Here is a 27,772-nt window from a genome sequence, read left to right as displayed (position 1 = left end):
CCCCAAGTGATCCACCCGCCTGGCCTCCCAAAGTGTTGGGATTACAGGTGTCAGCCACTGCTCCCGGCCAAGAATTTCTTAATAAATAAAATAGTGCCTGATCGGCCTCACTGAGGCTGTGAAGAACCAGCTCTTCCTAGTCCATCTTCAGCAGAGCTCCTACAGCAAGCAGGAGGGCCTGTGGGATTCTCTTTGGGAGGAGCAGGTTGGGGAGGAGAATCCCAGAGGCCTCATCTTACACTTGGGGTCAGTGGGGGTGGTGCAGTTCAAGGCAGTCTTGGAGGCCACTGGCAGGAGGCTGAGAACCCAGGGAGCTGATAGGGGCTTAGAAAGTGAGGTTGAGGCTTCCTCACAGGGCCTCTGGGGTCTGTGGGGAGAGGCAGGGTTGTCAAATTCTGGCAGTATTAGCAGATGTGCAGTTGGATAGGGGGATTGCTGGGCATACCTGAAAAGGAGAGGGCAGGCCCCCCTGCACCCCAACGATCAGTGAAGCTCCAGGTAAAAGTGGATTTTGAGGCCAGATCCAGCTTCAGGGCCAGGGGTCCCAGTCATTGATCAGTGTTAATGCATCACTAGAGGGGGTGGTATCTGCTCTCCTTTCCTCAGCCTGGCACAATTCCAGGGCTGTGCCAAGAGGAGGTGGAAGTAGAGCCCATGCAAGGCTGTGCGGAGCAGGAGGGGGCTGCTGCAGGGACCTGTGGCAGGAGGGCCCGGGGGGATGAGGGGGGACCTAGGGAGGGTGCACCACAGCCAGGGAGGTGCTCCTGGGCTCCTGGTGGGCCTGGGCCTGGGCCTGGGCTGGCTGCCTGTTGACTGCCTGTCCCCCCTCTCACAGGTGGGTGCTTGGAGAGTGTGTCCTCACCCCATCTCAGGCACCAAGAGGGCAGAGGGTAGAATTTGCATCCATCTAGGTCTAACTTTTGAGGCTTCTGTGGCAAGTGGTTAGTGCCCTTTGGTGGTGAGACCTCTACGTCAGGCCCCAGGGCAGATGCTTTGCACATAGCCTCTCTCCTGTCCTCAGAGCACCTGTGGGCTCAATGGCACAGTCCCCTGTACAGGTGTGTCCTGTGGTGCACAGAGAAGTGGCTTGCCCAGCTGCGCTGCAGGGTGCTACAGAGGAACCCCAGTTCCAGCCCCAGGCCAGCAGGGTAGGGGAGCGGTTTGGCAGGGGCTGGAACTGGGGTTCCTGAGGGAATCCGTTAAGCCTGGGCTGCTCCTGGAGGGAGGGGGCGCAACAGTGAGGGTGATCAGGAGTCAGAGGGCCGGAATGCATCAGAGCCTTAGGGCTTCTTCCCTGGCCTCTCCCACCAAATATCACCCCCTTTTAATATGGGATTCTGGGTGACAAAAGCTAGTATTTAAGGGAGCTTGGATGGGCTCTTCCCTGCAGCTGTTCCTGGGTCCTGCACATCTGCTACCTGCAGGTCTGGAGACACCACACATCACATTTACTCTGTGTTTGTGAGAGGCGTGACATTTGTTTAGGATGGCCAGAGTCTGCAGCTTATCTGTGATTTGAAGGGGCTGCTGATAAATAAAGCAAAGCCTATGGGTTAGAGGATCCATGTTTCCTGCCGTGAAAAAGGACTTTATGGGCTTGTAGGTGAGCATGTTTTATTTTGATAGCTATGCATTTATTTTCATGGGTACTAGGGAAAAGTATAACCCACGAAATATCACCCAAGTCCAGGTATTAATTGTTTAAGACAAGAGTGAAGTAGAAAAAAAATGGAAAGGGCAATCAAAATGATTCGATGGCATCTGGAGCCCTGCCTGACAGCAGTCTCTTCCCCCAGGCTTCCTACTGCACCAGCGCCAGGACACATGAGGCCCTCCAGGAGCTGTCCAGTGGAGGACATGTGTCCCCAAGCGGGGAGGGGCAGGGAAGCTCAAGAAGTTTGACTGGTGGGACTTGGTACTTGATTTCAGTTGTTTCCCCAGTATGTGTACTGTGTTTTTTTTATTACTTTTGTTTTATTTATTGTAGCCATTAAATTTTTCAGCAACATTCTCCTGGTTTTCAGCAGCCAGTGAACTCATTATTATTTGATGTCATCATAGCACATTTTCTCCCTTACAGTTTGTCCTAAAGGTTATTACAGATGATGGGTCCGGCACAGTAGGCCTGATGCGCCAGTGTCAGAAGTGAGGTCTTCAGTGGCCCAGGGTCTGTGGACCTCTGGGGTGGCAGGACTGGAACTGTCAGTGCTGGTGGTGGAACTTGTCAGAGGGTGTGCAGGGGAACAGCAGTTGTTGACGCGACTTCTCAACTGTAGCAAAAGCAGTGGATTTTTTTGCTGTGTTGCTGGGAGGGAACAGTACTGGATGCCAAGTGGGGCAGTTCATGCCACCAGCAAGTGCTGCTGGGTTAAGGAGAATGATGGGGTGCATCTGGGAGGCAGGCCAGGGCATCACCATCATGTCGCCAGAACCCAAGTGGGACCTGAGTCAAGGGGCAGTCTTGTGTTCCGACCTTCTGGGGGTGGGGTGAGCCTGGGCTCTGGAAGCTCCAGGGAGGTAATTTTTTTTTTTTTTTTTTTTTTTTGAGATGGAATCTTACTCTGTCGCCCAGGCTGGAGTGCAATGGCGTGATCTCAGCTCACTGCAGCCTGCGCCTCCCGGATTCAAGCCATTCTCCTGCGTCAGCTTCCCGAGTAGCTGGAATTACAGATGTGCACCACCTCGCCCGGCTAATTTTTTTTTATTTTTAGTAGACACAGGGTTTCACCATCTTGGCCAGGCTGCTCTTGAATTCCTGACCTCAGGTGATCCACCTGCCTTGGCCTCCCAAAGTGCTGGGATTACAGGCGTGAGCCACTGCACCTGGCCAGGGAGGTAATTTGAAAACAGCCTTAGAGGCTGGGCACAATGGCTTGCGCCTGTAATCCCAGCACTTTGGGAGGGCAAGTTGAGCGAATCATCTGAGGTCAGGAGTTCAAGGCCAGCCTGGCCAACATGATGAAACCCTGTCTCTACTAAAAATACAAAAAAATTAGCCGGGCAAGGTGGTGCACACCTGTAATCCCAGCTGCTTGTGAGGCTGAGGTGGGAAGATGGCTTGAGCCTGGGACGCAGAGGTTGCGGTGAGCTGAGATCACATGCCACTGCGCTCCATACTGGGTGACAGAGTAAGACCCTGTCTCAAAAACAAACAAACAAAAAACCAGCCTTAGAAAGTGGCTGGCTCTGATGTGGCAAGAACAAAGGGTAAACGAAGGCTGCACCAAGCAGCCCACAGAGCCGGACGCACCTCTGTGTGCTGCTGGGAACCAGGAGAGAGAGGGTGAACTCAGGACCGTGTTGGTGTGTGCCTCCTTTCATATTTTCCGATGGCAAACTTTGCAAACAAACTTAACCTGATGCTCACCCAGGCATGATTGTCTTGGTGTGTTGTTTCTGTTGTCTAACCTTAAATGTTACCTGTTTAGGAAGTGCGGTGTGAAACAACAGTGGTAAGTTGACTTCTTGCCTCAAGAGGTGCTGCTGAAATAAACTAGGAAAGTGGGAATGTCGGAGAATGTGTCATACTGGGATCTGGTATATAACAGTAGCAGGAGAGCCCTGAATGGGTCCTGCACTGCCTGTGAAGTGGGGGAAACTTAACTTGCTTTTGAGGCTGTTCTGAATTGAGATTATTGTCAGCTGGCAGTGCTGGGCACAGGGACGTGGGATTGATAGCTGAGGTTGTCATCTCAGGCTACAGCTTTTGTACTGTACCCGTGTCCCAGAAGAACCCAGAGTTCCTAGAGAAGGATCTAGGCTCTGCCACCATCTTGGCCCTGTCTGGTAGACATGCTCGGGCTCAGGCTTGGTGTTCTCATGAACCTGGGGGCACTGTTCCCCTCTGGCATCTGTCACCCTCTGACCATGTGGGCGTGGTCTGTGAGATATAGGACTTCGTGATGGAGTGGTGGTCTTCTTGTGAGGTTGGAATATGAACTGCTGCAAGTTGGCCCACCTCATTCTTGGCCATTTGTTTGCAACTTTGGGGCTGTGGCACAGTGTGCCGTGCAAGGGCTACAGGCTGGGAAGCCAGCAGATGGGAAGTGGCTAGGCTGTGGAACCCCGTCCAGGGCCTCACTTTGCCCAAGACACCTGGAGGAGTCTTGGAAGACCTTACCCCAGGTCCTGTCACCCCGTTCCTTTGTGAAGGGCGAAGGGAGTGGCGTGGAAGAGGGGCTAGATCTGCTCTTGCCTCTTCCACTTCAACCCCGCATCCTGCCCAGCATCCCAGGAACATCCCCACCCTGTGCCAGCATGTTCCTGAAGGAATGTAACCTGCTCCAGGTAGAGCAACAATGGCATTGACACATGCCTGTCTGAGTTAGAGCTGGGTGTGGCAGCGTGCAGCCGAGTTGTCTGCATCTCTCCACGCAAGGAGGTGTCCCACGTATGCACTCGATGGCTGAGGCTGTGGTCAGCAATTGTGGGCAGTATGGCTTCAGTGCCAGTCCTAGGAAATTATTTATGAATGTCTGTGCCAGATCCTCTCTCTTGCCTGACTGGCCTTCACGTTTGGAGACACACTGCCATACCTGTGCAGAGTCAAGGGAAACATAAGGAGGGCAGGATAACAGCTCTGACGCAGCATGGGGTTGCTTTCTGGGACCCTTGGCAGGGCACAGCAGATTTAACTGCTTTCTCCCTCCCTTTTGTGATGGGGTCATTGCACTGTGGAAGCCAAGAGCCAAAAACAGTTGAAGCATGGCTGGGCACAGTGGCTTGCCTGTAATCTTAGCACTTGGGGAGGCTGAGGCAGGAGGATCACTTGAGCTCAAGTGAGGTCGAAGCTGCAGTGAGCCACGATGGTGCCACTGCACTCCAATCTGGGCAACAGGGCGAGACCCTGTCTCAAGAAAAACAAAAAGAAAAAAGTTGAGGCAGTACCAGTTGCCATGACAGTATTTGAACTCTCTTGGAGTAAAGTTTAACACCTGGGAATTGATTCCTAAGGAAAAAATGAGAGAAGGAAGCATGTTTGAAGATGTTCATTCCAGTACTGGTTGCAGCAGGAGAACCTAGAAAGAAGTGAACTGCCCAGCAATCGGAGAAGGTTAAGGGAATTATGATACATTAATAGAACATTTAGCTGTTAGACATGATCTTGAAGATTATGTAGCAACAAGAAGTGTTAAATGAAAAAAGAATGCAGTATCTGTGATGCAGTGATATAATTGTTACTGGCACTGGACTAGGACGGGAAAGTCACCCAGGAAAGCATTGCTGTTGGGGGAGTGAAGGGTGTGAGTTGGCTCCACACTTTGTTCTGTGCAGAGCTTGGCCTCTGAGGTCAGACCTGAGCACTGGTCTCCATTCTTGGGTCTGCTGGGCACTCTCAGCCTGAAGCCACCACAGGATGTCATCCCTTCCTGAGTTTCCAGGTGTCCATTTGTGCAATGACAATGTTCATCTCACCTCCTGAGGCTGCTGGGGTTCAAGACAGCGCACATCTGACAACAGCAGTGGCTCAGTAGATGCTCTCAGAGGAGAGGAAGACCACAGGGGCAGGGTGAGAGCACGTGCACAATCAAGTCACCAGGTCCCTTCTTGCTTCCCTCGGTGTGCTCGGTCAGCACAGCATTAGGCCCAATGTGGTCAGAGTGTCTAGACAGTCACAGAGCTGGAAAGAGGTGCGCACGTGTCACGAGTTGGGTTTGAGGAGGGCTGGGGTCAACCATCTCAGGGCTTTGAAACAGGGGTCCAACGCAGAGGCACCTACTGGAGGTGACTCCTGGACTGTGGGCTTTCCTACATGGGGGGTGCTGCCACTGCTCCTGGAGTGTGAATCCGCAGTGAGGGAGGAAGGATCTGGGGTTGGGGCCTGAGGAGCCCCAAGTGGAGGAAGTTGAGACTGTAGAGGGGCCACCGGCAGGAGCAGAGTTCAGGAGGAAGGAGCAGCCCTGGATTCGAGGAACTGCTCTGAGAGGTGAGGCCGAGGCAGGCTGATGGGTCCCTGGCTTTGGTGACAGGTTCCCTGGGTAGAGCCGTTTTGGTGTGGTGACAGGTAGGGTCCAGAGCCAGCACTTTTTAATGCTGCCTTAGGGTGTAGTAAAAACATGCGTTCCTGCCCTTAATTGCACTGTTGCATTTTCTGTGGCTGTGGTTGACTGTCAGCACTTGTGTGGTGAAGATGAAGGTGGGGGAAACCAGATTTTTTTTTTAAGTTAAAAAAGGTTTAAAATATTGAAGAGGTGCTGTTAGCAAATGAAGAAAGTTCTGGTTTTTTCCCCCTTCTTCATCTTCACCGTGGTGAAAAATGAACCTTCTCCATGTCCAGTGGTCTGCCACCTCTGCAGGCCACTTCAGTGCCTCTCCTAGAACCCAGCTCAGACCCCACCTTGCCTTGGACATGTCATGACAAGGGAGCACGAGTCTCGCTGCAGGGTGTCCTCTGGCATTTAGCCCAGGCCAAATCATGGCCTCTCAGGTTGGTTTCGCTGCCCCTTCCCCACTTGTGAGATGCGCGTGGTTCAGGTCCACAGCAGGAAGTACCGGTGAGATCCGCTCCACCCCACTTGGGGCTTGACTGGGGCCACTGCTGTGTGGCTGGGCTTTCCCCAGAGCCACCAGGGGCTGCCTAGCCTTTAGTGGGAAAGGAAGGAAGTGGTTGATTTGGCTCTCGGCGGCAAGTGGCCTCAGGAGCCCTGGTGGCCCTTGAGTGTGCCCTCACTGTAGCCAGCAGATAACACAGGCTTCTACCAGCAAGCTTCCACTCTCCCTGCCTTGCCACACTGTGCCGCCACTATATGGATAATCCTGTCACTGAGTTAACCACAGTGGATTGTTAGGTTTAATTTCCACATTGCTTTAATTCGTGGCTTTGCAAAAATCTCATGTGGCTTCCCTTCTCCCTCCTTATATAACAATTTGGAATAGCTTTAGGATTGCCAAGAAGGTAAACTGGAGAAAATTTGTGTGGTCATAGTAACTTCCAGGACCTCTGCATTGAAAACGAAGGCTCTCTCAAAACACGTTGAGCCTTGCTGAGCAAACATGTTTGCCTGAGAGAGAGCAGCAGAGCCAGTGCCACCATTGACCACAGCTTTGGAGGGACAGGAGAGGTGGCCTTCTGTCTAGCAGCATCTCCAGGACCCACTCAGAGATGGCACCCTTGACCTGGACTTTGATGAAGCTTTGTGAGGACCACCAAGAGTCACTGTGTTCTCATGATCCTCTGGGATGGCCAGTGCAGGTGACAGCTGACAACGGGACAAAGCGTGTTTGCTCTCTAGGTGTTGACTTGCCACAGAGGGAGACCCCTGAGATGTTTGTGATATTGGAGTGAACATGGTGGCCAGCAACCGTGGATGAGGGACTTCATCCACCCATCATTTGGCATGTATCAAGTCCCTGCTAGTTGCCAGGCACTGTTCTAGGCACTTAGGAGGCAACAGTGAACAAAACCAAGGTCCCTGCACCTGAGGAGCAGACCTGCAGGTGGAGGCTGGACCACATGTGAGAAAGCGGGTGTGTTGCAGGCAGTGAGGGCTAAAGAAAGTCTGAGCAGATGTGTGGGCAGGTGGGAGGAAGAGCTCTGTGAGCCAGATGACCAGGGGAGGAGCTCCCTCATGCCTCCCTGCCTCTCCCTTGCTGGAAAGGGCTTGCTTTCCAGACCCAGTGAATGGTGAGGTGGTGATTTGGCCCTGTCCTCTGCACAGCCTGGGCCAGAGGGTGCCGATGAAATATGCAGTGACTTCGGATAGGCACCTCGGCATCAGGTTGTTGGGTCTATGAGATGTCACTGAGGGCCGTAGGAGGATTTCTTCTTTTCTCCTTGCAGGCTGTGGGCTGGTGGCCCTCCTGGGGACCAGGTGCTGGTGTCTGGATTGGTGGGCATCAGTTGCCTGCTTGGCCCACCTACAGAGTCGGCGCCAGCCAAGCAGGGCAGAATTCGGCCAGTCCTGTGGGAGGTTTGGCTGTGAGTTGGGGGTGGTGGTGCAACTTGTTATTTTCGTTGACTTGTGTTTTTAAAACAGAGGGTTGAGTGATGCCGCCTTTGGAACAGTTGCATTCCAGGGCAGTGGTTTGTAAGGCAGTTGATTGGAACCAAGACAGCCATCATCTGCCCTTAGAAAATGTCCCCAGTTGCAATAACTGGTCATCGGTCCAGCCCGCAGAAGCTACTCAGGTCCTTATTGGAGCTGAAGTGGAATTATCTTAGAAACACCGGCTTTGAGGTTTAGAAGAAGGGGGTGCCGTTTTGACCAGGAGCTCTGGGAGCCAAGTGGATGAAGGTGGGGACACTGGTTATGAAGCTGGTGACAGGCTCCACATGTCATGCCTAGGCGAGCGGGTGAGACCTGCTGCTGCTGAACTTTGTTTGGAAGGGACATGTGTGGCGTGATTTGCTAACATCCTCTGGGAGCTCCCCAGCCTCTGCCAGATGCCATTGTCCCTGACAGTGGCCATTGCTGGTTGGTGGCGGTACGTCCCCCACCAGCCTGGATATTTCCTGTCCTTTCATCCTGTTGTGGTTTGTCTGGACCCTGTCACACCACCATCGGGAGAGGCTTTCTCTGAGATTGGCATGGGACGGGACAGGGCCCCACAGCTGTGCCTGGTGGGCTCTGTGGGGTCGTGGTATGGACTCTGCAGTCCCCTCCTGCAGATGGAACTTGGGCACATCACACCCCCTCAGGGTTTACAGTTGTCAGAGGGATTGGATGAGTCACACCTGGGAGGGACTCTGGAAAGCAGGGTGCAGGTGGTGCCAGGAGTGTTACCAGGGAGCCTCTGATTGGCTGGCCACAGAAGTAGGGGTCAGGGCTGCAGCTGGGCACATGGTGCCAAGCAGAGCCCACAGCCTTGGGTGCCTCTGCCCATCATCCCTGTGGGGCTGGGCCTCCTTGAGGGCTTGTTGGAATGCAGCTTCTGATGCAGGAGGTCTAGGGGGGATGGGGATGGGGATTGTGCGTTTCAAAGCAGCTCCCTGGTGATGCCCGTGCTGTTGACCCCTAGGCCACACTTGAATAGGAAGGATCTAGATCAGCTCTCTAGCGGGGAAAGTCAGGATTTCAGACAGATTTCTCACTCTAGGAGCTTAATTCCCATAGGAGAAAACCATGCGGAATTAGGAGGGAAAAGACTCTGTCAGACGCACCGTGGCTACTTTCAGGTCAGGAGGATGGATCCAGCATCATTGCTTGCACCATGTTTTGGGGAGAGCAGACTGTCGTTTGCCCAAGACTTTGCAGATGTCTGCAGCCGCTGGCCTTTTCTCGAGTGTAGGAAGTTGGTTCCTTCACCTGGGTCTCCAGTGAAGTATGACCAAACCCTATAGGTAGGCATACAAGGGGGTGTGTGTGTAAGTTCAGCCTTGGGAAGTGGCTTGGTGGCTGCTTGGCATTTTATTTCACAGCTCATAGGACACTGTGACCCAGCTTCAGCTACAGCTTTTTTCCAAAGCTACAATTAGGATGCCTAATCAGTGCAGTGCACAAGTGTTTGTGGGTGCATACAGAATGTCCCAGAAGGAAAAAGCAGGTGCCTACTGATGCCTGCAGGAGTCTGGTCTGAGATGGGGAGTGCATTGTGTGCATTCTCAAGTGTATCTTTCAGTCCTTACAGTCCCTCTGAGATCCTAGGCGTGACAGTCATTCTCCTTCTACTGAGGAGAGAAGGAGCCTCCCCAAAGGGCCCACCCTCCTTCCCCAGGGAGGACAAACCCAGGTGGCATCTGGTTCCCCTCTCTAACAAAGAAGCAGTCCTTCTCTCTGCCTGCCATCCCTCCTACTTTTCCTAGGACCTGCTGCATCTGTCTGCCTCCATGGGTGTTTTTTTAATAGCTTTATTTATTTATTTATTTATTTATTTATTTATTTATTTATTTATTTTATTTTATTTTGAGAAAGTCTCTCTCTGTGGCCCAGGCTGGAGTGCAGTGGTGCAATCTCAGCTCACTGCAACCTCCACCTCCCGGGTTCAAGTGATTCTCATGCGTCAGCCTCCCAAGTAGCTGGGATTACAGGTGCCTGCCACCACGCCTGGCTAATTTTTTTGTATTTTTAGTAGAGACAGGGTTTCGCCATGTTGCCCAGGCTGGTCTCAAACTCCTGGCCTCAGGTGATCCACCTGCCTCCACCTCCCAAAGTGCTTGGATTACAGGTGTGAGCCGCTGTGCCTGACATTAATAGCTTTATTGAGATATAATTGACATACAATAAACTGCGCATAGCAGAAGTATATAATTTGATAAATTTTAACTTGTAAGTACATCAGTAACACCAACACCACAATCAAGGTAGCAAAGAAAGGGAGCTGAAATTAAAGCAAGGGAGGCAGATAACATTTGAAAATGTGTGTAATCAACCATATTACAAGGCCAGAAATGAAAAGCCTTATAATCATCCCAGTACATGCAGGAAAAGCATGTGACAAAATCAGACATCTATTCCTGATAAAACCTCTCAGCAAACTAGGAGTAGAAGAGGCATTTCTTCACTGTCCTTTTCCGCTGTATAGATGTGCAGATTTGCCTCATCCTAAAGTGTCCTGTGTCACAGTGGAGCAGGGAGGCAGGTGTGTGCTGGCTGCATGGGGTAGCAGGTTAGGTTAGTAACGAATCTGTGGCCAGCTGGCACCCTGGCTTCTTGGATGGGAAAGTGGCTTAATACCTGTTGGGGGTGGAGGGGGCGTATCTGTGGTCTCAGGGGAGACCATGGTGTGGCAAGACCCCAGTGCCCTGCAGGGTGCTGGCACCATGCCCAGTGGGTGCTGCCTGCCTGCCTCTTTCCAGTAGCATTAGTGCTCACTTCTTCCTGGGGACACTCATCTGTTGAGTACTCCTGCCGGGGAAGCTTCAGAGTGCCCTTGTCCTCCTCAGTCCCATCCAGGGCAGGAGAGTGCAGACACGTTTCTCAGTGAGCAGTGAAGTGCAGTGCACATTGCATCACTGTGTGTTGTAGAGGTGGCCAGGGCTTGTGTTGAAGCTGTTTTCAGACCTTGTTCTGTGGGGCTCTCAGAGGGTCTGGGCCGTGGGGAACGAGGGGCTGCTTTGCCAACACCTCCCCCTCCTCCACAACCCTGACAGCTTCACCATCTGTTTCTGTAGGATGAGGTGGCCTCTAAGATCATGGAATTCACACACAGTAGGTTATTTTTAACAACCTTTGTAAATATAGTCTAGAAAATATACATCTAGAAAAGTGTACAAGTCCCAAGTTTTACAGCTGAATGAACATTTATGAACACATCTGAGAACCCCAGTCCACCCAGGTTAAGGAACAGAGCCTTTCCCCTGAAGCCATCTTCAACGTCCTCTCCTAGTCATTCTCTGCCTGCCACTACCCTGACTGCTCTCACCATCTAGAAGTCTTGCCTGCTTTTGACCTTTTAATCCAGGACAAAAAAAAAATGTGTTTTTTTGTGTTTGGCTCTTTGACTCAACGTTGTTTTGAGATTTGTCTTTGAGGTTATGTGTAGCAGCAGTTTGTTCATCCAACATTGAATGGACAGACCATGATTTATTTATTCGGTGTTCTGTTGGTGGCTGCGTGGGCTGTTTTCAGTTGGGGCTGTTCTGATACAGCTGCTCTGAGTGCATTTCTGTAGGTGCTGCTTGGAGTGGAATTGCTGGATCATAGCGTGAGTGTCCATCCTTAAATGGTGGTTACCATGGGATCCACAGAGTCACCAGACTCTTTCTTGGGTGACAGTGTCCTTGGTTCTCTGCACCGTGGCCCTCGTTGCAGGAATGCCCAATGAGAAGGCCCCTGTGCCCACTCCTGTCCCTCCAGCTCCACACAGAGCCCAGGAGCTGTGGGGGAAGGGGTGGCCCTGGACCTGAGCCAAGTGTAGTCCTCCCCTGGGGTTTCCTGGCAGCCTGGGTGAGAGCCTCAGTGGTGGCATTTTATCTGTTGCTTCTGTTCTTGACCTTGGCTGTCTCTGTCTACTCCTCCGGGTCAGTACACAGGGATCCTAACGCCCCCTCCCAGCATCCAGCGGGCCCAGAGTTTGGTAGAGCACCTGTGTGCAGTCGGTGCTCAGAGAGCATTTGATGACTTGTCTCGGGGAATTCTAGAAGGTCACTAGTTCTCAGGATCTTACAGCAGCCCAATTGGACAGGCAGGCGGGGGGCTGCTCTCCTTCGGCTTCCTCTCTCAATGGGCCTCTGAGGCTGCCTCCAGGCACCGTGCTGGGCACTGCCCTGCCTGAATGGATCTTACAGACCACAGAGCAGCCCAGCAGAAAGTGCAGTGTGCGGGTCCTCGTGGCCTGGCCCCTGGGGGCGTGGTCTCCAGCACACCATTCATGCTCTACAGACACCATCTTGTGGTTTTCTCATGCTCTCAGAGGAGGAACTGGGCTCCAGTCAGTGATAGGTCTTGCTTGCGTCAGTGCTGGAGGCCAGGTGCGGTCCCCTGCTACAGCTATGCGCGGCTCAACCATCAGGTCCTTGTCTGCCCAGCCTCAGCTAGGATCTTCCAGGCGGCGGCACAGGGTGCGCTGTTGTGTGCATCTCTGTGCTTGGCAGTCTCTTGAAGGTTGTTCCCTGTTGATTCCTGAAAAGCTGGCTCGTTCTTATTTGGGCTCTGTCTTTGGCGGAACATATATGGGCCGAGCACTGTGTGTGTGTTTCCCCCGAGGATGTTGGGTCATTTCCAGTCTTCTGCAGCTGGCATTCTTATCAGCTGCTCCTAGAAGAGAGAGGCTGAGAGGGAGAAGCCCCCACCCAGCGTGCTATCACCAGGACTCCGCTTGGCTTCCCACTGCTCCAGTTCTATCCGCGTAGCAACGAGTCAATTTACAGATGAGCTTTGAGAGCTCTTGTGCCTTCACAAAGGGCCAAATGGCAGTAAGAATCGTAAGTTCTGCAGACCTGAAGCAGAGGTCAGGAGAGTCTAGGTTGGTAGTTTGGTTGGGAAGAGCTGCTAAAAACAGAAAGTGGGAGGGAAGGACGCTGTGGGGGCAGTGGCTGTGGAGAGCAGCGCTGCCTGCCTCCTGGCTTCATCTGCAAGTTTCCCTCGCTGCAGAAGTCAGGCATGCCTACTGATGGAGCTCCTACTTCTGCCCCAAGCCCTGGGCTTCCTCTTTCTGAGTTGCTCATGGGGTTCAGTCAGGGCTCCGCGTGCTGCCTGTACTCAGGTGGCATTTCCCGTCCCCCGGGCTGAGTTGTAGCATGCAATTGCATACTTGCCCAAGCATTACAGGAGCTGTGGCTGCAGGACAGGGAGGGCCACATGGACATGACAGACCACTCAGGTGGCCGGCTGCTCCTGGGAGTAGCAGGAGGGCCCCAGCAGGAAGTGCTTTTCAAGTGGTGAGCTTGGTGGCTGTGGCCGAGACATGCACCTTCCCGTCATTGTTCCTCCCAGTGTCATTCTTCCTCTGAGAAGCTGTGAACTTGAGGCTTTGCCCCTGGGGTTTGAGGCTCCCATGAGGTCCCCTCAGAGGAAGGTGCCTTCACTGGGCAGAGCCTGGTGGACCTGCACCAGCCCCATGAGGCTGAGCGGAGAGTGCAGGGTGGGGCCCGCCTGAGGGTAAGCACAGCAGCACCCCTCAGGGCTGCGCTTTCCAGAGCTGAGAGGGAGGGCAGAGCTGGGGTCTTGGGGTGGAGGTGGGGTGGGGATGCAGGTGCCGCCTCTTGTACTGACTTGCACCAGAGGCAGTTTGGCTCCCAGCTGCCTGGGAACACGTGCGGAGTTTGTCAGAAGCAGGAAGACTTGGTGTGGCGGGAACCAAATCACAGACACACACTCTCCCAGCAAAGCCCTGTTTGATTCACCCGTGTGTCCTCAGCAGACACGACTGTGTGTTGGGGGTTGGGGGGTGGGCGAGGTGACTCAGCCGCGGACGGCATTAGAATGCTTAGCACATTGAAGGCAGACTGTCTGTTTCTGGGTGCCATCTGTGGCATGTTTGGGTTTGGAAGGACAGCTTGCTTGCTGATGAACACTTCCACAGTCTTTTGAGCTAAGTAGTTTTTGTAAATTACTGTCTAGACCATTCTGCATTAAAAAAAAAAAAAAAACCCGACAACATCCCCATTGTTGTTTTTAAAGTGAACCGGTTTTTACAGGTGCTTTGCCACTGAGGCCTCAGCAGGGGCTGTTTTGAGCCCAAGGAGCAGGTTATGTGGGCTGTGGGGCACAGGTGCGGGCCCACAGGCTGCCAGGGCAGTGCCGCCCACCGTCCAGGGTGGTCAGGAAGGCTGGCCGGACACCGAGGTGGGGGAGTGCAGAACTGCAGTCTGTGCTCCATGTGCACTGTTCCCAGGGCCAGCCCGGTGGGGAGTGGGCTCCAGTGCCATCTGAAGCCCTGCTGTGGTGGCCCGTGCATGCCTGGGTCACCCTGGTCCTGCCTCTCAGGCATCCTGGGGACAAGGCATAGACAACACGGAGACCGTGGAGGTGGCCCTGTGTGGGTTCAAGGAACTGTTTGTAACCTGTGCATTTCACTGCAGGAGCACGTCAGGAGAGTCTTTACAGAGTGCCGACATCACCACAGGCTGGTGGCACCTGGTACCCTTCACCCCACCTACTCAAAGCACCAGATGGGCCCTGTGTGTTTGGTAGCCATGTCAGGCTAGTGGAAGGCCAGGCCTCACCATCTTCTAGCTGTGTGGTCTACCCGGGACCTCCATTACCTTCCTGGCCCTCAGTTACCTTATCTGTAGAGTGCGCTTGTGAGGATGACGTGAAAGAACTTGGCACAAGGGCAACCCACCAGTGATGGTCCTGTGCGAGTTGTGCCCGGTTGGGCCTGCCCAGGCTCAGCACCCTTGGGACTATTGGTTGGTCAGACCTTGGGCAGCACAGGGTTTCCCCTTTGCTACCACAGCTGCATTCCCAAGAGGCTGGGGATCTCAGGCGGGGTGGGAACAGTTCAGATGTGGAGAAAATGGAGAGGCAAGCCAAGGGGCTGCTGGGACTCAAAACTCAGTCTCAGTTCCTTGTTTCAGACCAGGGCTGGAAATCCCCAGCAGTAATTACTCAGGGCCTGAGGGTTTTACTTACACACCCCTGTAATAAAGCGAGGAAGAGGTTGGCCAGTAGCGGGTCCACTCCACTGAACAGGCCCCAGCTTTGCACTCAGACCCAGTGATCCTCTTCACAGAAGAAAAACTCGGACACATGCCGTGGCCCAATTAAAATATTTGCCGACAGGAGTTTGGTTTGAAAGGTGATTCCACGCACCCTGTCGTAGGTGGGTTTTCAGAAGAGTCTAGTCTTCCGGACTCCGGAGGGGTCAGAGGTGTCACTGGGTTTCACAGGGCCACAGAGGAGTGCTGCTGGCTGGCCTTTGAGGGAAACCTGGAAAGAAAGTTCTGAGTGGCTGTGTCCTGTGGCTCAGCTGTGCCCAGAGCCATAGGATGTGGATCGCAGATGGGAGGGAGGTGGTGCTGACTGGGGCTGGGCAGGTCCTGGAGTGACGGCTGTCCCTTCCCTGGGTTACTGCTGGCTCATTGTTATGTTTCTCCCCTTCTGGAAGAGAGTGACCTAGCCCCCACCCCTTCTTGCCAAGTCCTCCCTCCTGGTCTGGGCCACTTGAGGGCCTGTCCTCTCTGTGGTGGTGGCTGTCCTGGGCTCCTTCCTGGTACAGGTCAGGCCTCTCCCTGCAGGAAGGAACTGTCGACCTAGCGTGTGCCCCTGGTTCGGGCTCTCTGTGGTTTCCTTTAGAAGAGAGGCGTGAGGACACCTGAGAGTCGGACCGGGATGGACAGCTGGCATGGGTACTCAGAGCTCCCCTCTCCAGCCCCAGGGGTGCCTGCTGTTTCTGCACCAGGTCTGTTAAGCAGCAGCCCAGTACCAGAGTAGGGGAGCTTGGTGAGGGGCTCCTGGGGTCTCACCAGATAGATGGTGTTGTGCAGTTCAAATCAGTTAGGAGGCCTGAGACTTGAGACAGGCTCACGTGGAGGGAGGTGGCATCCTACCCAGCCCTCGGCCCTTGCTGCCCCACTCAGGGGCCAGATGGTGGACAGTGAAGCCACTATGAGGAGTTGGAAACAGCTATTTGCTCACTTCCCCTTTAGATGGCTGCCAGTCCTTCTAGATCAGTGAACTCTCCCAAACAAATGCTAGGAAATAGATGTATTTTCTCATCTTTATTTGTGAGAAATTTCAAGCATAAAAGTAGAGAAAGGTAACCATCCTGCTTCAGTAGATAGCTGCTTACAGCCATGTGACTTTGTTTCACCCATCCCCCTCCTGTCACTCACCCTAGGGGATGATTCTGTAGCAAATTCCAGATTGTATTATTTCTTCAGGAAAGTGTCACTGAAAGACGAGGATGCGTGGTGGGTCTTTAATAGCTCACACGGAGCGTGGTGTGCTGTGAAGTCGCATACAGGGTTCCCCACTGCTCCCAGGGTGTGGGAGAATGAGGTGTCTCACGCAGCTCCAGGCGCCTGACCCAGGCTGCTTCTGAGGGGTGCTGGCCCCTCCCTCAGGCTGTCTCTGTGCGTGTCCAGCCCCGCCTCCTTCCTCACATTTCCTGTGAGCTGAACAGCACATGTCACCAGTTAGGCTGGCTGGAATTGTGGCTTAGCACAGGCTATGGGGCTCTCTGGGGACAAAGGTGCCAGCCTTTCCGGAAGCCTTTCTTTTTTTTGTTTTGTTTTTTGTTTTTTTTTGGCGGGGCGGGGGGGGGCAGTGTTTGGGTTTCGGTTTTTTTTTTCTTTTTCTTTTTTTTGAGACGGAGTCTTGCTCTGTCACCGAGGCTGGAGTGCAGTGGCGTGATCTCAGCTCATTGCAACCTCCGCCTCCCAGGTTTGAGCGATTCTCCTGCCTCAGCCTCCCGAGTAGCTGGGATTACAGGTGCACACCACCGCGCCCGTGGAAGCCTTTTTAAGTTCTCATGTGGAAGGATGACCACAAAAGAGCCCTGGGACAGCCAGACCTCTTGTGGTCTTGGGCGAGAAGTTGTCCCCTCCATGCCCCCATGCGTGTGTTCCTGGGGCATCCCTGAAGTGTGGGGCACCTGTGTGCTGAGGGTTGTGCTGGTGGCCCCAGTTCACCCTCTGCCTGGATGCAAACTGTTCTTCCTCAGTATCTATGCTAGCTGTGATGCCTATGACCTGAGACCAGGCCTCCCTGCTTGGTTTTTCTGAGATTCCAGAAGGACGAGATTAATGTTCACATTCCTATTGGCCCATGTGTACCTGATCATGCCTCATGGATTTCCATTCTAAGACCTGAAAGTGTTCGGTGTGACAGTGGAGTCAGTTCCATCAACATTCATGTACCAGGCGGCTGGGCTGGACCTGCATGTATACCTGTGCCACACCTGGTCCCACCTGCTAACTTCCTGCCCTGCCTGCCTTTGGAGCAGGCACCCCAGGGAGGTCCCACCTGCTTCCAGAGTGCTCCTTGCTGCATTTACCCCTGCTTCTCCTAGTAGCTGCATGGAGGTTCTGCTGTCGACACCCCCCACCCCCACCCAACACCCTTGCCCTTCACAGGCACTTCCCGCAGCAATGAAGAGGCCAAACTGAAGCAAATTAAGTGGGCAGGGGCGGTCAGTGTTGGTAGAAAGGGGAGGCAACGCCTGTCTTCGTTGATGGTTAAGGAAGTTCAGACCCATCTGCATCTATTGAGGGGTCCCTAGTGGAGAAGTGAGAGGCTACAGTTCCTGACGGGATTCCTGCCCCTTTGGGAAAGCAACTTGGCAGGTGTTTTGAGAGGTTTTTTTGGACTGGGAACAAATCCCAAGGGAGAATCCAAAGGAGGAGGGGGCCTCAGATGTGCCAGGCTATTCCTGACAGCAAGAGGCTGCAATTGGCCATCGGGCCACAGACATGGCCCTGGCAAGCCTGAAGAGCTGCCTTAAAGCCATCTTTTGAGGCCATCGCCTGGAGCGGCTCCCCATGTGGAGTCAAACTGTGTCTGTGCTGAGATTAGGATCTAGTGTACTTCCCCAGATAGATGGACAGGTGCCAAGGGCATCCCAGAAACAGGGCAAGGGCAGGTGGTCTGTGGGGGCAGTCGCTAAGGGGGATAGAAGACAGGTTGTGAAGGAGCCACCTTGGGTCTTTTGGGTCTGTTTTTCCTCCCGGTGTCCTTACCCATGGCCTCTCCCCTGCCGCAGGGCTTTGGTGCTGTCTGGCCAGCTCCCTGCCCATCCTTCTCCAGCTCTTTTCTGCTTTCCAGCATGGAAGTCGGTCTCCAGCCCAGGTGGACACAGCTCGTTCTGCCACATCCTTTTTTGACCTCCCTGGGAGGCCACCTTAGGTGCTGCCCTCCCCCTGTGGCCTGCCTCCCTGCCCTGAGGGTTCATGCTGGACTTAGCAGGCCTGGAGTCAGAGCGGGAGCCTCCCCTCAGCCACATACGAGTCCTGGTGTCTCTGTCACTCACAGAGGGCCACCTCCATGAGAGTGGGAGACCTGCCACTCCTGGGTGGGGGGTCAGTTGGTTGTTAAGGCAGGGTCCCCAGGGCCAGGGTCAGAAGCCAGCTCCTATTTTGCTCCTATGGGACCAGCACCAATTGGGTGCTAAGTGTTCTTTGGGACAGACTGTGGCCATCTATAAAGAGGCTCTGTGGAGCCTTCTGGCTCAGTGTGCCTGGGGTCGGGGCCAGGCCCTTTGCAGGGATTCCTCGCTGCATTGCTCAGTGTCTGCCTCCTGGGCCTGGGAGGCCTGTGTCTGGATGCCCAGGTGGTGCTCCCCACACAGTGTTCAGACTGCTTGACATCAATGCCCCAGAGGTCGCAGGGCAGGGCAGTCTCACCTTGCCCCCATCCTTAGCTCTGCTGACATCACTGACTGCCTTCTGCTGGCTCCAGGGAGTGGCCGCACTGGACACTCACCCTCTCTCTGTGTCTTACACAACACACATTTATCATCTCAGGCTCTAGGGCTCAGAAGTCAGCTCCAGTCTCACCGGGCTGGGATCCAGGAAGCAGCGAGCTGCGCTCCTCTCTGGAGGATCCATTTTCTGCCCCTTCAGGTGTTGGCAGAGTTCATCTGTTTACGGCGTAGGACTGTGGGTTTCTAGCACCTTACAGGTAGAGCAGGCGGGCTCCTCTACTCCTCAGGTGAGCAGCTCACACGGTGGGGACAGAAAGGGGACTGCCAAGGCTGTAGCATTTCCCTTGGGGCTCCTAGAGGCTGAAGGCCTCTCTGCACACGCTTAAGCGTGGCTCATAAGGCAGGGGAGGGGCCAAGGGTAAGGATACACAGTCACAGGGCCCTCACACCTTCGCCTGGTGTCCCCAGCTCCCACACAGTTTCCAGGAGACTCTTGGGACTGGCTGTTAGTTCAGCGGTGATTTCTGGGGCACCAGCTCAGTACCAGACCCTGGGGTTGCCCAGGTGTTCTGTCTCCTCCCTCTTGTCTGGCAGCAGGATGGTGTCTGCCCAAGGACAAGGACACTTTGTGCCACCAGGCTAGCTGGGTCTGGGCAGTGTTCTGCTCTGCAAGGACTGCTGCTTCAGGAGTATGTGGGGAACCAGGGCTCCAAATATACCAGGGTGAGGTCAGCAGGGTGGAGGTGAAGCCATGTGGCAAGCCCAGGGACTGAGTCGGTGCTGGAGTGCCTGGGGCAGGGAGTGGTTGGCCTTGCTGTCTGTCTGGGACTGGCCTCCTCATCGCACAGTCTTCCCCTGCACTGATCCCTGCCCATTGCACGAGGAGTGCGGACAGGACTGTATCTCCCCTCATATCACCCGTCCACCCCCACCATGACACAGCTTGAAGCAGGGTTTTCAGGGTCATTTGGAGCCCTGAATGGAGAACATTGCAAGGCAAGGCCGTTGTTGCCAAAGAGCAAATGGGCCCATTGGCAGGGCAGCTTTGTGGGAGTTCTGCGGGGACTGCTGTCGTGGCTCTGCAACTTTACACCCAGAGGAGACAACACGGGAAGGGAGGGAGTGGCAGTGGCTGCCTCCCACTGGAAGTGGGGCAGAAGAGTAGAAAAGCCAGAATCCATGAGGCCAGCAGAATTAACAGCCCTCAAGGACGTCCACATTCTAGTCCTGGAGCCTGGGCACATGGTACCGTACATGACAGATGTGACTAAGGGAACAGCCTGGAGATGGGGAGGTGATCCGAGATCATCTGGGCAGGCCCTGCCTAGTCAGGGAGTCCTTAGAGATGGCACCTATCCTGGCTGGGTCAGAGAGATGCCGGGTGAGGACTCAGCCTGTAGCTGGCTTTGAGCATAAGGGGAGGGGGTGTGAGCTGGATGCAGTGCCCTCCAGAAGCTGGGAATGGCTTCGGATGACAACCAGCAAGAAAATGGGCCTCATTCCTGTAGTGTAAAGAGCTGAACTCTGGGCCGGGTGCAGTGGCTCACGCTTGTAATCCCAGCACTTTGGGAGGCCGAGGAGGGCAGATCACCTGAGGTCAGGAGTTCAAGACCAGCCTTCAACATGGTGAAACCCTGTCCCTACTAAAAAAAAATACAAAAATTAGCTGGGCGTGGTGGCGGGTGCCTATAATCTCAGCTACTCGGGAGGCTGAGGCAGGAGAATTGCTTGAACCCAGGAGACGGAGGTTGCAGTGAGCCGAGATCGTGCCATTGCACTCCAGCCTGGGCGACAAGAGTGAAACTTCATCTCAAAAAAAAAAACAAAATAAGAGCTGAACTCTGCTAACACCTGAAGGAGCAGGAAATGGATCCTCTAGAGAGGATCCCAGCCCAGTGAGACTCAGACCTGATTTCTGAGCCCTAGAGCCTAAGATGATAAATGTGTGCTGTGTAAGATGCTAAGTTTACAATCATGTGTTACGGAAACTCTTGCCACGCAGTCTTGGCAAGGATGTGGCCTGGTGGGAATGGAATAGAGCAGCCTCCCTGGGGGTGAGGTGACCACCCTGCATGGATGTGGAGCCCCAGCTCCTCCATGGCTGTCTGTGCACTAGCTCAGAGTCAGGTCTGTCACTGCCGTCGGTTGCAGCCTTATTTTGTAATGGCGGACGGAAAGTGCCTAAGTGTCCCACAGCATTCAAGTCGGGCCTTCCCCACTCTGGAAGGGATGGTGAGCCAAATGAGGGGCTCTGTTTGAGGCTGGACATTGCTGACATTAAGTCAGAAAAGGCAAGAACCACTGTCAGTTTGGTTTTGAAATATGTGATAAGTGTGGATGTATACGCCTATATACACAAGGGATATTTTTGGAAAAAAATGCAAGGAAATGCTACAGTGGCTGGGTCAGAGATGCCCATTTCCTTGTGTGCCCTTTTATGCTGTTTTAATTTGTATCATGTGCCCGCTTAACTCCTTTATCATGTTGGGGTGGGGGGGAGTTGAGTAATCTACTCACTGTGGTTTCCTCAGGGCCCCTGGGCTCCCACCCGCTAGCCAGCCCACCAGAAACCTGTAGTTGCTGGAGGTGGTGGTTGAGTGGTAGGAATTCTTGTTGTAACAATTAAGGGAGTCAGTAATGTGTGGGAAGTGCTTAGAACAAGGTGTGGCTCCTAGCAAGATCCTAAAAGGGAGGGATTACTTGGTCATGGGATGTGTTCATGCTTCACTCTGCCAGACAAAGCCCAGCAGTCCCCAAAGTCAGCTGTATCCCCCGAAGTACCTAGTGTTGTCAGTGGGGCACGTGTATCATGTATCCATTTGTGGGTTCAGTTTGAGTTTTCCTGATTATCGATAAAGCTGAGAGGCTGAGCATCAGCACTGACATTTCATTGCCGTGTGCCTGTTCCTGTCTTGTGGCCAGTCTACGCCGGGCTCCTGGTCAGCTGTACTGCTGTACAGGCATTCTGTGTTCCAGATACAGCTCCTTGGGGGCCTGTGGCCTATGCCTTCTCCCACTTTGTGACTTTCTGCTCTCTTTATGGTGTCTTTGGATTCAGATTGACTGGTTTATCATTATTATTATTATTATTATTTTTTACACGGAGTCTTGCTCTGTCACCCAGGCTGGAGTGCAGTGGTGTGGTCTCAGCTCACTACACCCTCCGCCTCCCGGGTTCAAGTGGTTCTCGTGCCTCAGCCTCCCAAGTAGCTGGAACTACAGGCGCATGCCAGCACACCCAACTAATTTTTGTATTTTTAATAGAGATGGGGTTTCACTGTGTTGGCCAGGCTGGTCTCAAACTCCTGACCTTCTGATCCGCCTTCGTCAGCCTCCCAAAGTGCTGGGATTACAGGTGTCAGCCACCGCGCCTGGCCTGTGTATTGATCTTTTAAGCTTTGTGGATTTTATTCGATGAATTCTTCCGTGTCTCCTCTCCCACTCCCATCAGATGGCAGAGTAGAGGTCATCTTAAGTATCAGGAGCAGCTCTTGTTCCACAGGCATCCTGGGTTTCAGCAGGTGGGTGGGTATGTACCATGTACACTGGAGGGCTTGGGGCAGCCCGCACACCACACACTGGAGGAGGTCAGACGGCAGGTGAGGATGAGCACTGGGTGCCAGGTTGGCCCAGGGAGCAGGTAGGAGACGACATGGAGTGGGGGCTTCAGTGCTGCTGGCTCCTCTTGCTCTGGGGTTGGGGAGAGACTGGAGCAGGCTGGGGCAGGGTGTTCCAGCCTCCCAGTGGAGAAGGACAGGGACCTGACAAATGGCTTTTTATTTCCACAGATCCGGAACATGGTGGCGGTGCTGGAAGTCATCTCCAGCCTGGAGAAATACCCTATTACCAAAGAGGCACTTGAGGTGAGTATCCCAGACCCCAGCATTTGGGAGGGCAGAACGGGGGGCAGGGGATGGTACCAACCAGGTCCTTCCGCAGCTTCTGGGAGCATCAGTGTCTTTGCTTCGGAGGACCAAGAGAGGCGGTGTGCCCTCACAGCTCGTGCCTCGCGATCTTGCTCTCCCACGGGCACTGCAGAGACCAAGTGGTGTTACTCCCATCCTACATGCCCAGCACACTTCGTGGGCACGTGGGGACATCAGGAGAGGTGTGCTTGGAGGAGGCTCCAGTGAGAGGCACCATCCCCAACCCTCCACTTGAAGCGGACCCTCTGTGCTGTCGCCTCGGCCACAGCACCCTCTCACCCAGGAAGCCTCTCTGGCAGTGTCCTTACAGTGGCCTTGATGGTCCACAGCCCCCTGACACCAGGAGCCTGGGTGACAGCACTGCTGAGAAGCCACCTGGGACCCTGAAGGTCTGGGAACTAGGTTTGAGAATTTATATTGTCACAAAGGACCGGAAATCCCCAGAAGTTTTGTGTCAGGGAAGCTGGCAGTTTAGGGCTCAGTGGGAACCGGGTCATTTCACTGTCAGGGCCACTTCCCACCATTTCTGGCTCAGCTCATGGAGAAGTTCCTGTCCCGAAAGTATGTCATCATCTCCCTCTGGTTGTAGGAAACACGACTTGGGAAGCTCATCAACGACGTCCGCAAGAAAACCAAGAACGAGGAGCTCGCCAAGCGGGCCAAGAAGCTGCTGCGGAGCTGGCAGAAGCTCATCGAGCCGGCACACCAGCATGAGGCGGCGCTGCGGGGGCTGGCGGGGGCCACCGGCTCTGCCAACGGGGGCGCACACAACTGCCGGCCGGAGGTGGGGGCGGCTGGCCCACCCAGGAGCATCCATGACCTGAAGAGCCGCAATGACCTCCAGAGGCTGCCCGGGCAGCGGCTGGACAGGCTGGGCAGCCGCAAGCGCCGGGGTGACCAGCGTGACCTCGGCCACCCAGGGCCGCCACCCAAGGTCTCCAAAGCTAGCCACGACCCCCTGGTCCCCAACTCATCCCCCCTCCCCACCAACGGGATCAGTGGGAGTCCAGAGAGCTTCGCCAGCTCCCTGGATGGCAGTGGGCATGCAGGCCCAGAGGGCAGCCGCCTGGAGCGTGACGAGAATGACAAGCACAGTGGCAAGATCCCCGTCAACGCCGTGCGACCGCACACCAGCTCCCCGGGCCTGGGCAAGCCCCCTGGACCCTGCTTGCAGCCAAAGGCTTCGGTGCTGCAGCAGCTGGACAGGGTGGACGAGACTCCGGGGCCTCCCCATCCCAAGGGACCCCCTCGCTGCTCTTTCAGTCCTCGGAACTCACGGCATGAGGGCTCCTTTGCCCGGCAGCAGAGCTTGTATGCACCCAAGGGCTCCGTGCCCAGCCCCTCACCGCGGCCCCAGGCACTCGATGCCACACAGGTGCCGTCACCGCTTCCACTGGCACAGCCGTCCACACCCCCCGTACGGCGGCTCGAGCTGCTGCCCAGTGCGGAAAGCCCAGTGTGCTGGCTTGAGCAGCCTGAGAGCCACCAGCGGCTGGCGGGGCCGGGCTGCAAGGCAGGGCTGTCCCCAGCCGAGCCCCTCCTGTCCCGGGCAGGCTTTTCCCCAGACTCCTCCAAGGCGGACAGTGATGCTGCCTCCTCAGGGGGCTCGGACAGTAAAAAGAAGAAGAGGTACCGACCTCGAGACTATACGGTTAACTTGGACGGGCAGGTGGCTGAGGCGGGCGTCAAGCCTGTCCGGTTAAAAGAGCGGAAGCTCACCTTTGACCCCATGACGAGACAGATCAAACCTCTGACCCAGAAAGAGCCAGTGCGGGCAGACAGCCCTGTGCACATGGAGCAGCAGTCCAGGACAGAGCTGGACAAGCAGGAGGCCAAGGCCAGCCTCCAGAGCCCCTTCGAACAGACGAACTGGAAGGAGCTGTCACGCAACGAGATCATCCAGTCCTACCTGAGCCGGCAGAGCAGCCTGCTCTCATCATCGGGCGCGCAGACCCCAGGGGCTCACCACTTCATGTCTGAGTACCTGAAGCAGGAGGAGAGCACCCGGCAAGGGGCCAGGCAGCTGCATGTGCTGGTGCCTCAAAGCCCGCCCACGGACCTCCCTGGTCTGACCCGGGAGGTCACACAGGACGATCTCGACAGAATCCAGGCCAGCCAGTGGCCGGGGGTGAACGGGTGTCAGGACACACAGGGTAACTGGTATGACTGGACGCAGTGCATATCGCTCGATCCGCACGGCGACGACGGGCGCTTGAACATTCTGCCTTATGTCTGCTTGGACTGACCGGCCTGTCAGCCACAAAGTGCATTCCCATCTTGCAGAAGCCGGGTGGGCGGGCAGGCAGGTGGGCAGGTGGCCGGGGCCCAGCTGCCTCCTGCGCTGGGAACTCGGGGAGTCCGGCCCAGGCGGGAGGGAGGGGGCGGGAGTCACGCGGTCTCTCTGCGCTCTTCCCTCAAAACTCTTTTTGTGAAATGCTGCTACCAGTTTACTAACAAAATTGCGAAGAAGGACCGCGTGGAAGGAAGGACGGCAAAGTGAGTTCAGAACTCTATAGCAAACCAGCTATAAAAAGCGTTAGTCCCTCACCCCCAAAGAGGTGCGGACACTTTCCAGCACCTGAAAGCTGGGGCCTCAGTTGCAGGCAGGCACAGAAAACCTGTGGGAGAGGTCACCTTTAACACAGCAACAGAAGCACGCATCTCATCTCTCTTGCATTTTCTGTTCTTTAATTTGGCCCTGAGTGTCTTGAGACAGTGGGCCATGCCACTGCCTCTGTTTGCTCCCTACCCAGCCACTGTCAGGCCAGTGTTGTCTGTCATGTGCCAGAAGCTTCTCAGCTGTGGTGAGCCACTGGCATTGGGCAGGCGGGCCAGCTGGCCAGCCAGTGTGACCCACACTCCATGGGCAGCCACCTGTTTATATCTGGTTTCAGTTATAACCCAGTTTTTAAAGAAATGCTGCAAAAATTTAAGTTTTCTCATGTTTATTTTAAACAATTCCTCTTCCATCAGACCACCAGACAAAAAAACCTTTCCTTTCTTCCTCCCTTTTCTTTTTTCCCTTCCTGTACACATCTAGAAAACTTCACCTTTCTAGAGTCCCCCCAAAACAACACAAAAGTTATTGTGGGTGCTACTGGTTTTATGCTGTACTGTGGGGCGAGGGGGAAGACCTGTCTGTACGCTGGAAACACTCATAACCATTCCTTTAGATTCGTTTGCCTTATGGTTATTTGTCATAAACGCGATTTGCAAAAACAAGGAGCCTTAGTGAATGTACAGTACCTAGACTTCTGTGTTCTCAGGACGCAGAAGGGAGCAACTTTGCTATTTGGTCCAGTAAGTGGACACCTTGTGATATAAATGTGGAAATAAAAAAAAAAAAAAAACCATTTGCACAAACCAGTCTGAGAATCTTTTCTCATTTGGACCTTCACAACCAAATCAGCCCTTTCCTGGATTGTGGATTATTAGCCAGGAACACCCAGACCCCAACAGCTGCAATGCAGGGAGACAGGGCAGGGCACAGCCTTGCAGTCCACCTGTTAGCCTGCTGCTGCATTTGGGAGGACCTCCACATTTTATTCATTCAGGGCCACATTAAGGAATGTTTTCTTGTCTCACCCAGACTTTACCTGGCCTAGAGAGCAGCCCTCTGTAGGAGGCTCCCATAGCACAGGTCTCAGTGACTACCCCCACCTCAACAAAATACCTAGTTCTTACAAGGTATGGCCCAGAGGCTCAGAGCTGTGTGTGTGTGTCTGAAAGGCCACCCCATGGCCCTGGCCCCCAGCTGCCTTATTAGCTGGTTGGTGCTGACTCCAAAAAAATTTTTCTCCCTTGACTATAAAGTGCTCATCTTTTAGTTCCCCCTCGTCCCTGAAACTGTAGGCTAAGACTTTGGTTTTCCAGTTTTTCACTTTGGAATAGGTCATCTTACCCATATCTGCTTAATTTCACAAATGAAGAAACAGCTACACCTTAAGACATGCAGTCTCACAGGGCAAACCAAAGGTTCCTTCCAGCCTGTAAGACTACAGTCAGTCCAGAGCCAGTTTGAGAGCTAGCAGGGATTCCTGGCAAAAGCTTGGTGCAGAACACACTCCCCTCCCCAACAAAAGGCCATGGGCAAAGTGGCTTTGAAGGCAGGATGAGGTTGAACCCAGGCCTACCACCCACCAGCTGTGTGGCTCTGAGCTCATCTCTTCACTCCTGTGCACATGTCCCCATTTGGGGGGTGAGAATACCCCAGAGTTGTGAGAACTAAAACACAAAGCATGTCAGTGTGTCAGTGGAAGTATCTGACACTCAGCTGTGCTGTAGGGTGCCTATAGTTATACTTTCCTAATTTCACTGTGCCTATGTTTAACAGCTCTGCTGAGACATGGTGTCCCAAGGATGTGACTTTACTCTGATCCACAGAGGGTACAGCTGGAGGATATTAGGGTGCAGAGCTTGGCCTCCTATCAGCATCTCTAGAGTTTTGGGATAGGTTGCAGCTCCCCACTACCCCTGCCTGCAGGGACTACCATGCCTGTGTCCATGTATCCAGAAGGGCCTAGGGCCTTTGAGAATGCAAGGATAAGCTAAGATACCTTCCAACATTTGGGGAGCCAAGTTGGGTTGCTGCTTTCTACTTTTCTTTGAGACTGGGTCTCGCTCTGTCACCCAGGCTGCAGTGCAGTGGCGCCATCATAGCTCACTGGAACCTTGACCTGGGCTCAAGCCGATCCACCCACCTCAGTCTCCCTAGTAGTGGGTACCACAGGCGTGCGCCACCACGCCTGGCTAATTTTTGTATTTTTTGCAAAGATGAGGTTCTGCCATGTTATCGATGCCACGATCTCCAACTCCTGAGCTCAAGCAATCCGCCCACCTTGGCCTCCCAAAGTGCTGGGATTCCAAGCTTGACTCACTGCACCCAGCCGGTTGCTGCTTCTAATTTGACAAGTAAAAACACTGTAACGGAATTTTAACACCCTTTCCCCGAAAAAGTTGGAGGCACACGATGTGGAGAACAAATTATAGCCCTTGAATTAGTATAAGATCATCTTACTGAAAACCTCGTCCTGTTTTCCTCCACTGGGGCCTCCTGGGGCTGGTCCATCCCGGCTGGTCCTTGGACATCAGCCGTCAGGGCCCGGCACCTCCCCCTTCTGCAGAGCCTTGGAGACAGGTGTCCAAGGACGCTACCATGACCA

At 54.2% G+C, this 27,772-nt stretch overlaps 1 protein-coding gene and 1 long non-coding RNA gene across 3 annotated transcripts in view, besides 18 other annotated features; one reads left to right on the top strand and one right to left on the bottom strand.

The window, feature by feature from the left end:
• Nucleotides 1-25,963, top strand: part of MED26 (mediator complex subunit 26) — a 53,286-nt gene extending 27,323 nt beyond the window's left edge. The window contains exons 2-3 of the mRNA NM_004831.5: nucleotides 22,473-22,547; nucleotides 23,200-25,963. Coding sequence (NP_004822.2) covers nucleotides 22,473-22,547; nucleotides 23,200-24,855 — 1,731 coding nt within the window. The 3' untranslated portion in view covers nucleotides 24,856-25,963. The remainder of the gene's footprint in view (nucleotides 1-22,472; nucleotides 22,548-23,199) is intronic.
• Nucleotides 5,804-6,003: an enhancer, noted in NCBI's record as "active region_14246". NCBI's record gives its function as "activates an Ori minimal core promoter by ATAC-STARR-seq in GM12878 lymphoblastoid cells {active_cell/tissue: GM12878}" and the evidence as "EXISTENCE:reporter gene assay evidence [ECO:0000049][PMID:35858748]".
• Nucleotides 7,363-7,422: a silencer, noted in NCBI's record as "silent region_10309". NCBI's record gives its function as "represses an Ori minimal core promoter by ATAC-STARR-seq in GM12878 lymphoblastoid cells {active_cell/tissue: GM12878}" and the evidence as "EXISTENCE:reporter gene assay evidence [ECO:0000049][PMID:35858748]".
• Nucleotides 8,319-8,821: an enhancer, noted in NCBI's record as "H3K4me1 hESC enhancer chr19:16702872-16703374 (GRCh37/hg19 assembly coordinates)". NCBI's record gives its function as "activates a minimal SCP1, AML or CMV promoter by ChIP-STARR-seq in primed H9 embryonic stem cells {active_cell/tissue: H9 hESC(primed)}" and the evidence as "EXISTENCE:reporter gene assay evidence [ECO:0000049][PMID:30033119]".
• Nucleotides 11,533-11,582: an enhancer, noted in NCBI's record as "active region_14245". NCBI's record gives its function as "activates an Ori minimal core promoter by ATAC-STARR-seq in GM12878 lymphoblastoid cells {active_cell/tissue: GM12878}" and the evidence as "EXISTENCE:reporter gene assay evidence [ECO:0000049][PMID:35858748]".
• Nucleotides 11,793-11,962: an enhancer, noted in NCBI's record as "active region_14244". NCBI's record gives its function as "activates an Ori minimal core promoter by ATAC-STARR-seq in GM12878 lymphoblastoid cells {active_cell/tissue: GM12878}" and the evidence as "EXISTENCE:reporter gene assay evidence [ECO:0000049][PMID:35858748]".
• Nucleotides 12,213-12,282: an enhancer, noted in NCBI's record as "active region_14243". NCBI's record gives its function as "activates an Ori minimal core promoter by ATAC-STARR-seq in GM12878 lymphoblastoid cells {active_cell/tissue: GM12878}" and the evidence as "EXISTENCE:reporter gene assay evidence [ECO:0000049][PMID:35858748]".
• Nucleotides 12,453-12,502: an enhancer, noted in NCBI's record as "active region_14242". NCBI's record gives its function as "activates an Ori minimal core promoter by ATAC-STARR-seq in GM12878 lymphoblastoid cells {active_cell/tissue: GM12878}" and the evidence as "EXISTENCE:reporter gene assay evidence [ECO:0000049][PMID:35858748]".
• Nucleotides 14,007-14,889: an enhancer, noted in NCBI's record as "H3K27ac-H3K4me1 hESC enhancer chr19:16696804-16697686 (GRCh37/hg19 assembly coordinates)". NCBI's record gives its function as "activates a minimal SCP1, AML or CMV promoter by ChIP-STARR-seq in naive and primed H9 embryonic stem cells {active_cell/tissue: H9 hESC(naive and primed)}" and the evidence as "EXISTENCE:reporter gene assay evidence [ECO:0000049][PMID:30033119]".
• Nucleotides 14,007-15,272: a biological region, named in NCBI's record as "H3K27ac-H3K4me1 hESC enhancer GRCh37_chr19:16696804-16697686".
• Nucleotides 14,543-14,592: an enhancer, noted in NCBI's record as "active region_14241". NCBI's record gives its function as "activates an Ori minimal core promoter by ATAC-STARR-seq in GM12878 lymphoblastoid cells {active_cell/tissue: GM12878}" and the evidence as "EXISTENCE:reporter gene assay evidence [ECO:0000049][PMID:35858748]".
• Nucleotides 14,623-15,272: an enhancer, noted in NCBI's record as "active region_14240". NCBI's record gives its function as "activates an Ori minimal core promoter by ATAC-STARR-seq in GM12878 lymphoblastoid cells {active_cell/tissue: GM12878}" and the evidence as "EXISTENCE:reporter gene assay evidence [ECO:0000049][PMID:35858748]".
• Nucleotides 15,527-16,063: an enhancer, noted in NCBI's record as "H3K27ac-H3K4me1 hESC enhancer chr19:16695630-16696166 (GRCh37/hg19 assembly coordinates)". NCBI's record gives its function as "activates a minimal SCP1, AML or CMV promoter by ChIP-STARR-seq in naive H9 embryonic stem cells {active_cell/tissue: H9 hESC(naive)}" and the evidence as "EXISTENCE:reporter gene assay evidence [ECO:0000049][PMID:30033119]".
• Nucleotides 16,763-16,952: an enhancer, noted in NCBI's record as "active region_14239". NCBI's record gives its function as "activates an Ori minimal core promoter by ATAC-STARR-seq in GM12878 lymphoblastoid cells {active_cell/tissue: GM12878}" and the evidence as "EXISTENCE:reporter gene assay evidence [ECO:0000049][PMID:35858748]".
• Nucleotides 17,749-18,320: an enhancer, noted in NCBI's record as "H3K27ac-H3K4me1 hESC enhancer chr19:16693373-16693944 (GRCh37/hg19 assembly coordinates)". NCBI's record gives its function as "activates a minimal SCP1, AML or CMV promoter by ChIP-STARR-seq in naive H9 embryonic stem cells {active_cell/tissue: H9 hESC(naive)}" and the evidence as "EXISTENCE:reporter gene assay evidence [ECO:0000049][PMID:30033119]".
• Nucleotides 18,321-18,892: an enhancer, noted in NCBI's record as "H3K27ac-H3K4me1 hESC enhancer chr19:16692801-16693372 (GRCh37/hg19 assembly coordinates)". NCBI's record gives its function as "activates a minimal SCP1, AML or CMV promoter by ChIP-STARR-seq in naive H9 embryonic stem cells {active_cell/tissue: H9 hESC(naive)}" and the evidence as "EXISTENCE:reporter gene assay evidence [ECO:0000049][PMID:30033119]".
• Nucleotides 19,070-19,119: a silencer, noted in NCBI's record as "silent region_10308". NCBI's record gives its function as "represses an Ori minimal core promoter by ATAC-STARR-seq in GM12878 lymphoblastoid cells {active_cell/tissue: GM12878}" and the evidence as "EXISTENCE:reporter gene assay evidence [ECO:0000049][PMID:35858748]".
• The window catches only part of LOC105372295 (uncharacterized), a 6,265-nt gene continuing 560 nt past the window's right edge, over nucleotides 22,068-27,772 (bottom strand). For both annotated transcript variants that reach the window (XR_936359.3, XR_936360.3), the window contains exons 2-3: nucleotides 22,609-22,716; nucleotides 22,068-22,524 (exon numbers count right to left, since the gene is read on the bottom strand). This is a non-coding gene — a long non-coding RNA (uncharacterized LOC105372295). The remainder of the gene's footprint in view (nucleotides 22,525-22,608; nucleotides 22,717-27,772) is intronic.
• Nucleotides 27,558-27,772: part of a biological region, named in NCBI's record as "H3K27ac hESC enhancer GRCh37_chr19:16683261-16684135", that runs on past the window's edge.
• Nucleotides 27,558-27,772: part of an enhancer, noted in NCBI's record as "H3K27ac hESC enhancer chr19:16683261-16684135 (GRCh37/hg19 assembly coordinates)", that runs on past the window's edge. NCBI's record gives its function as "activates a minimal SCP1, AML or CMV promoter by ChIP-STARR-seq in primed H9 embryonic stem cells {active_cell/tissue: H9 hESC(primed)}" and the evidence as "EXISTENCE:reporter gene assay evidence [ECO:0000049][PMID:30033119]".

The sequence above is a fragment of the Homo sapiens genome, chromosome 19, assembly GCF_000001405.40.
Source record: "Homo sapiens chromosome 19, GRCh38.p14 Primary Assembly".
Lineage (NCBI taxonomy): Eukaryota > Metazoa > Chordata > Mammalia > Primates > Hominidae > Homo > Homo sapiens.
Note: the sequence above shows the minus strand (reverse complement) of the source record. Positions and strands in the feature narration are given on the sequence as shown.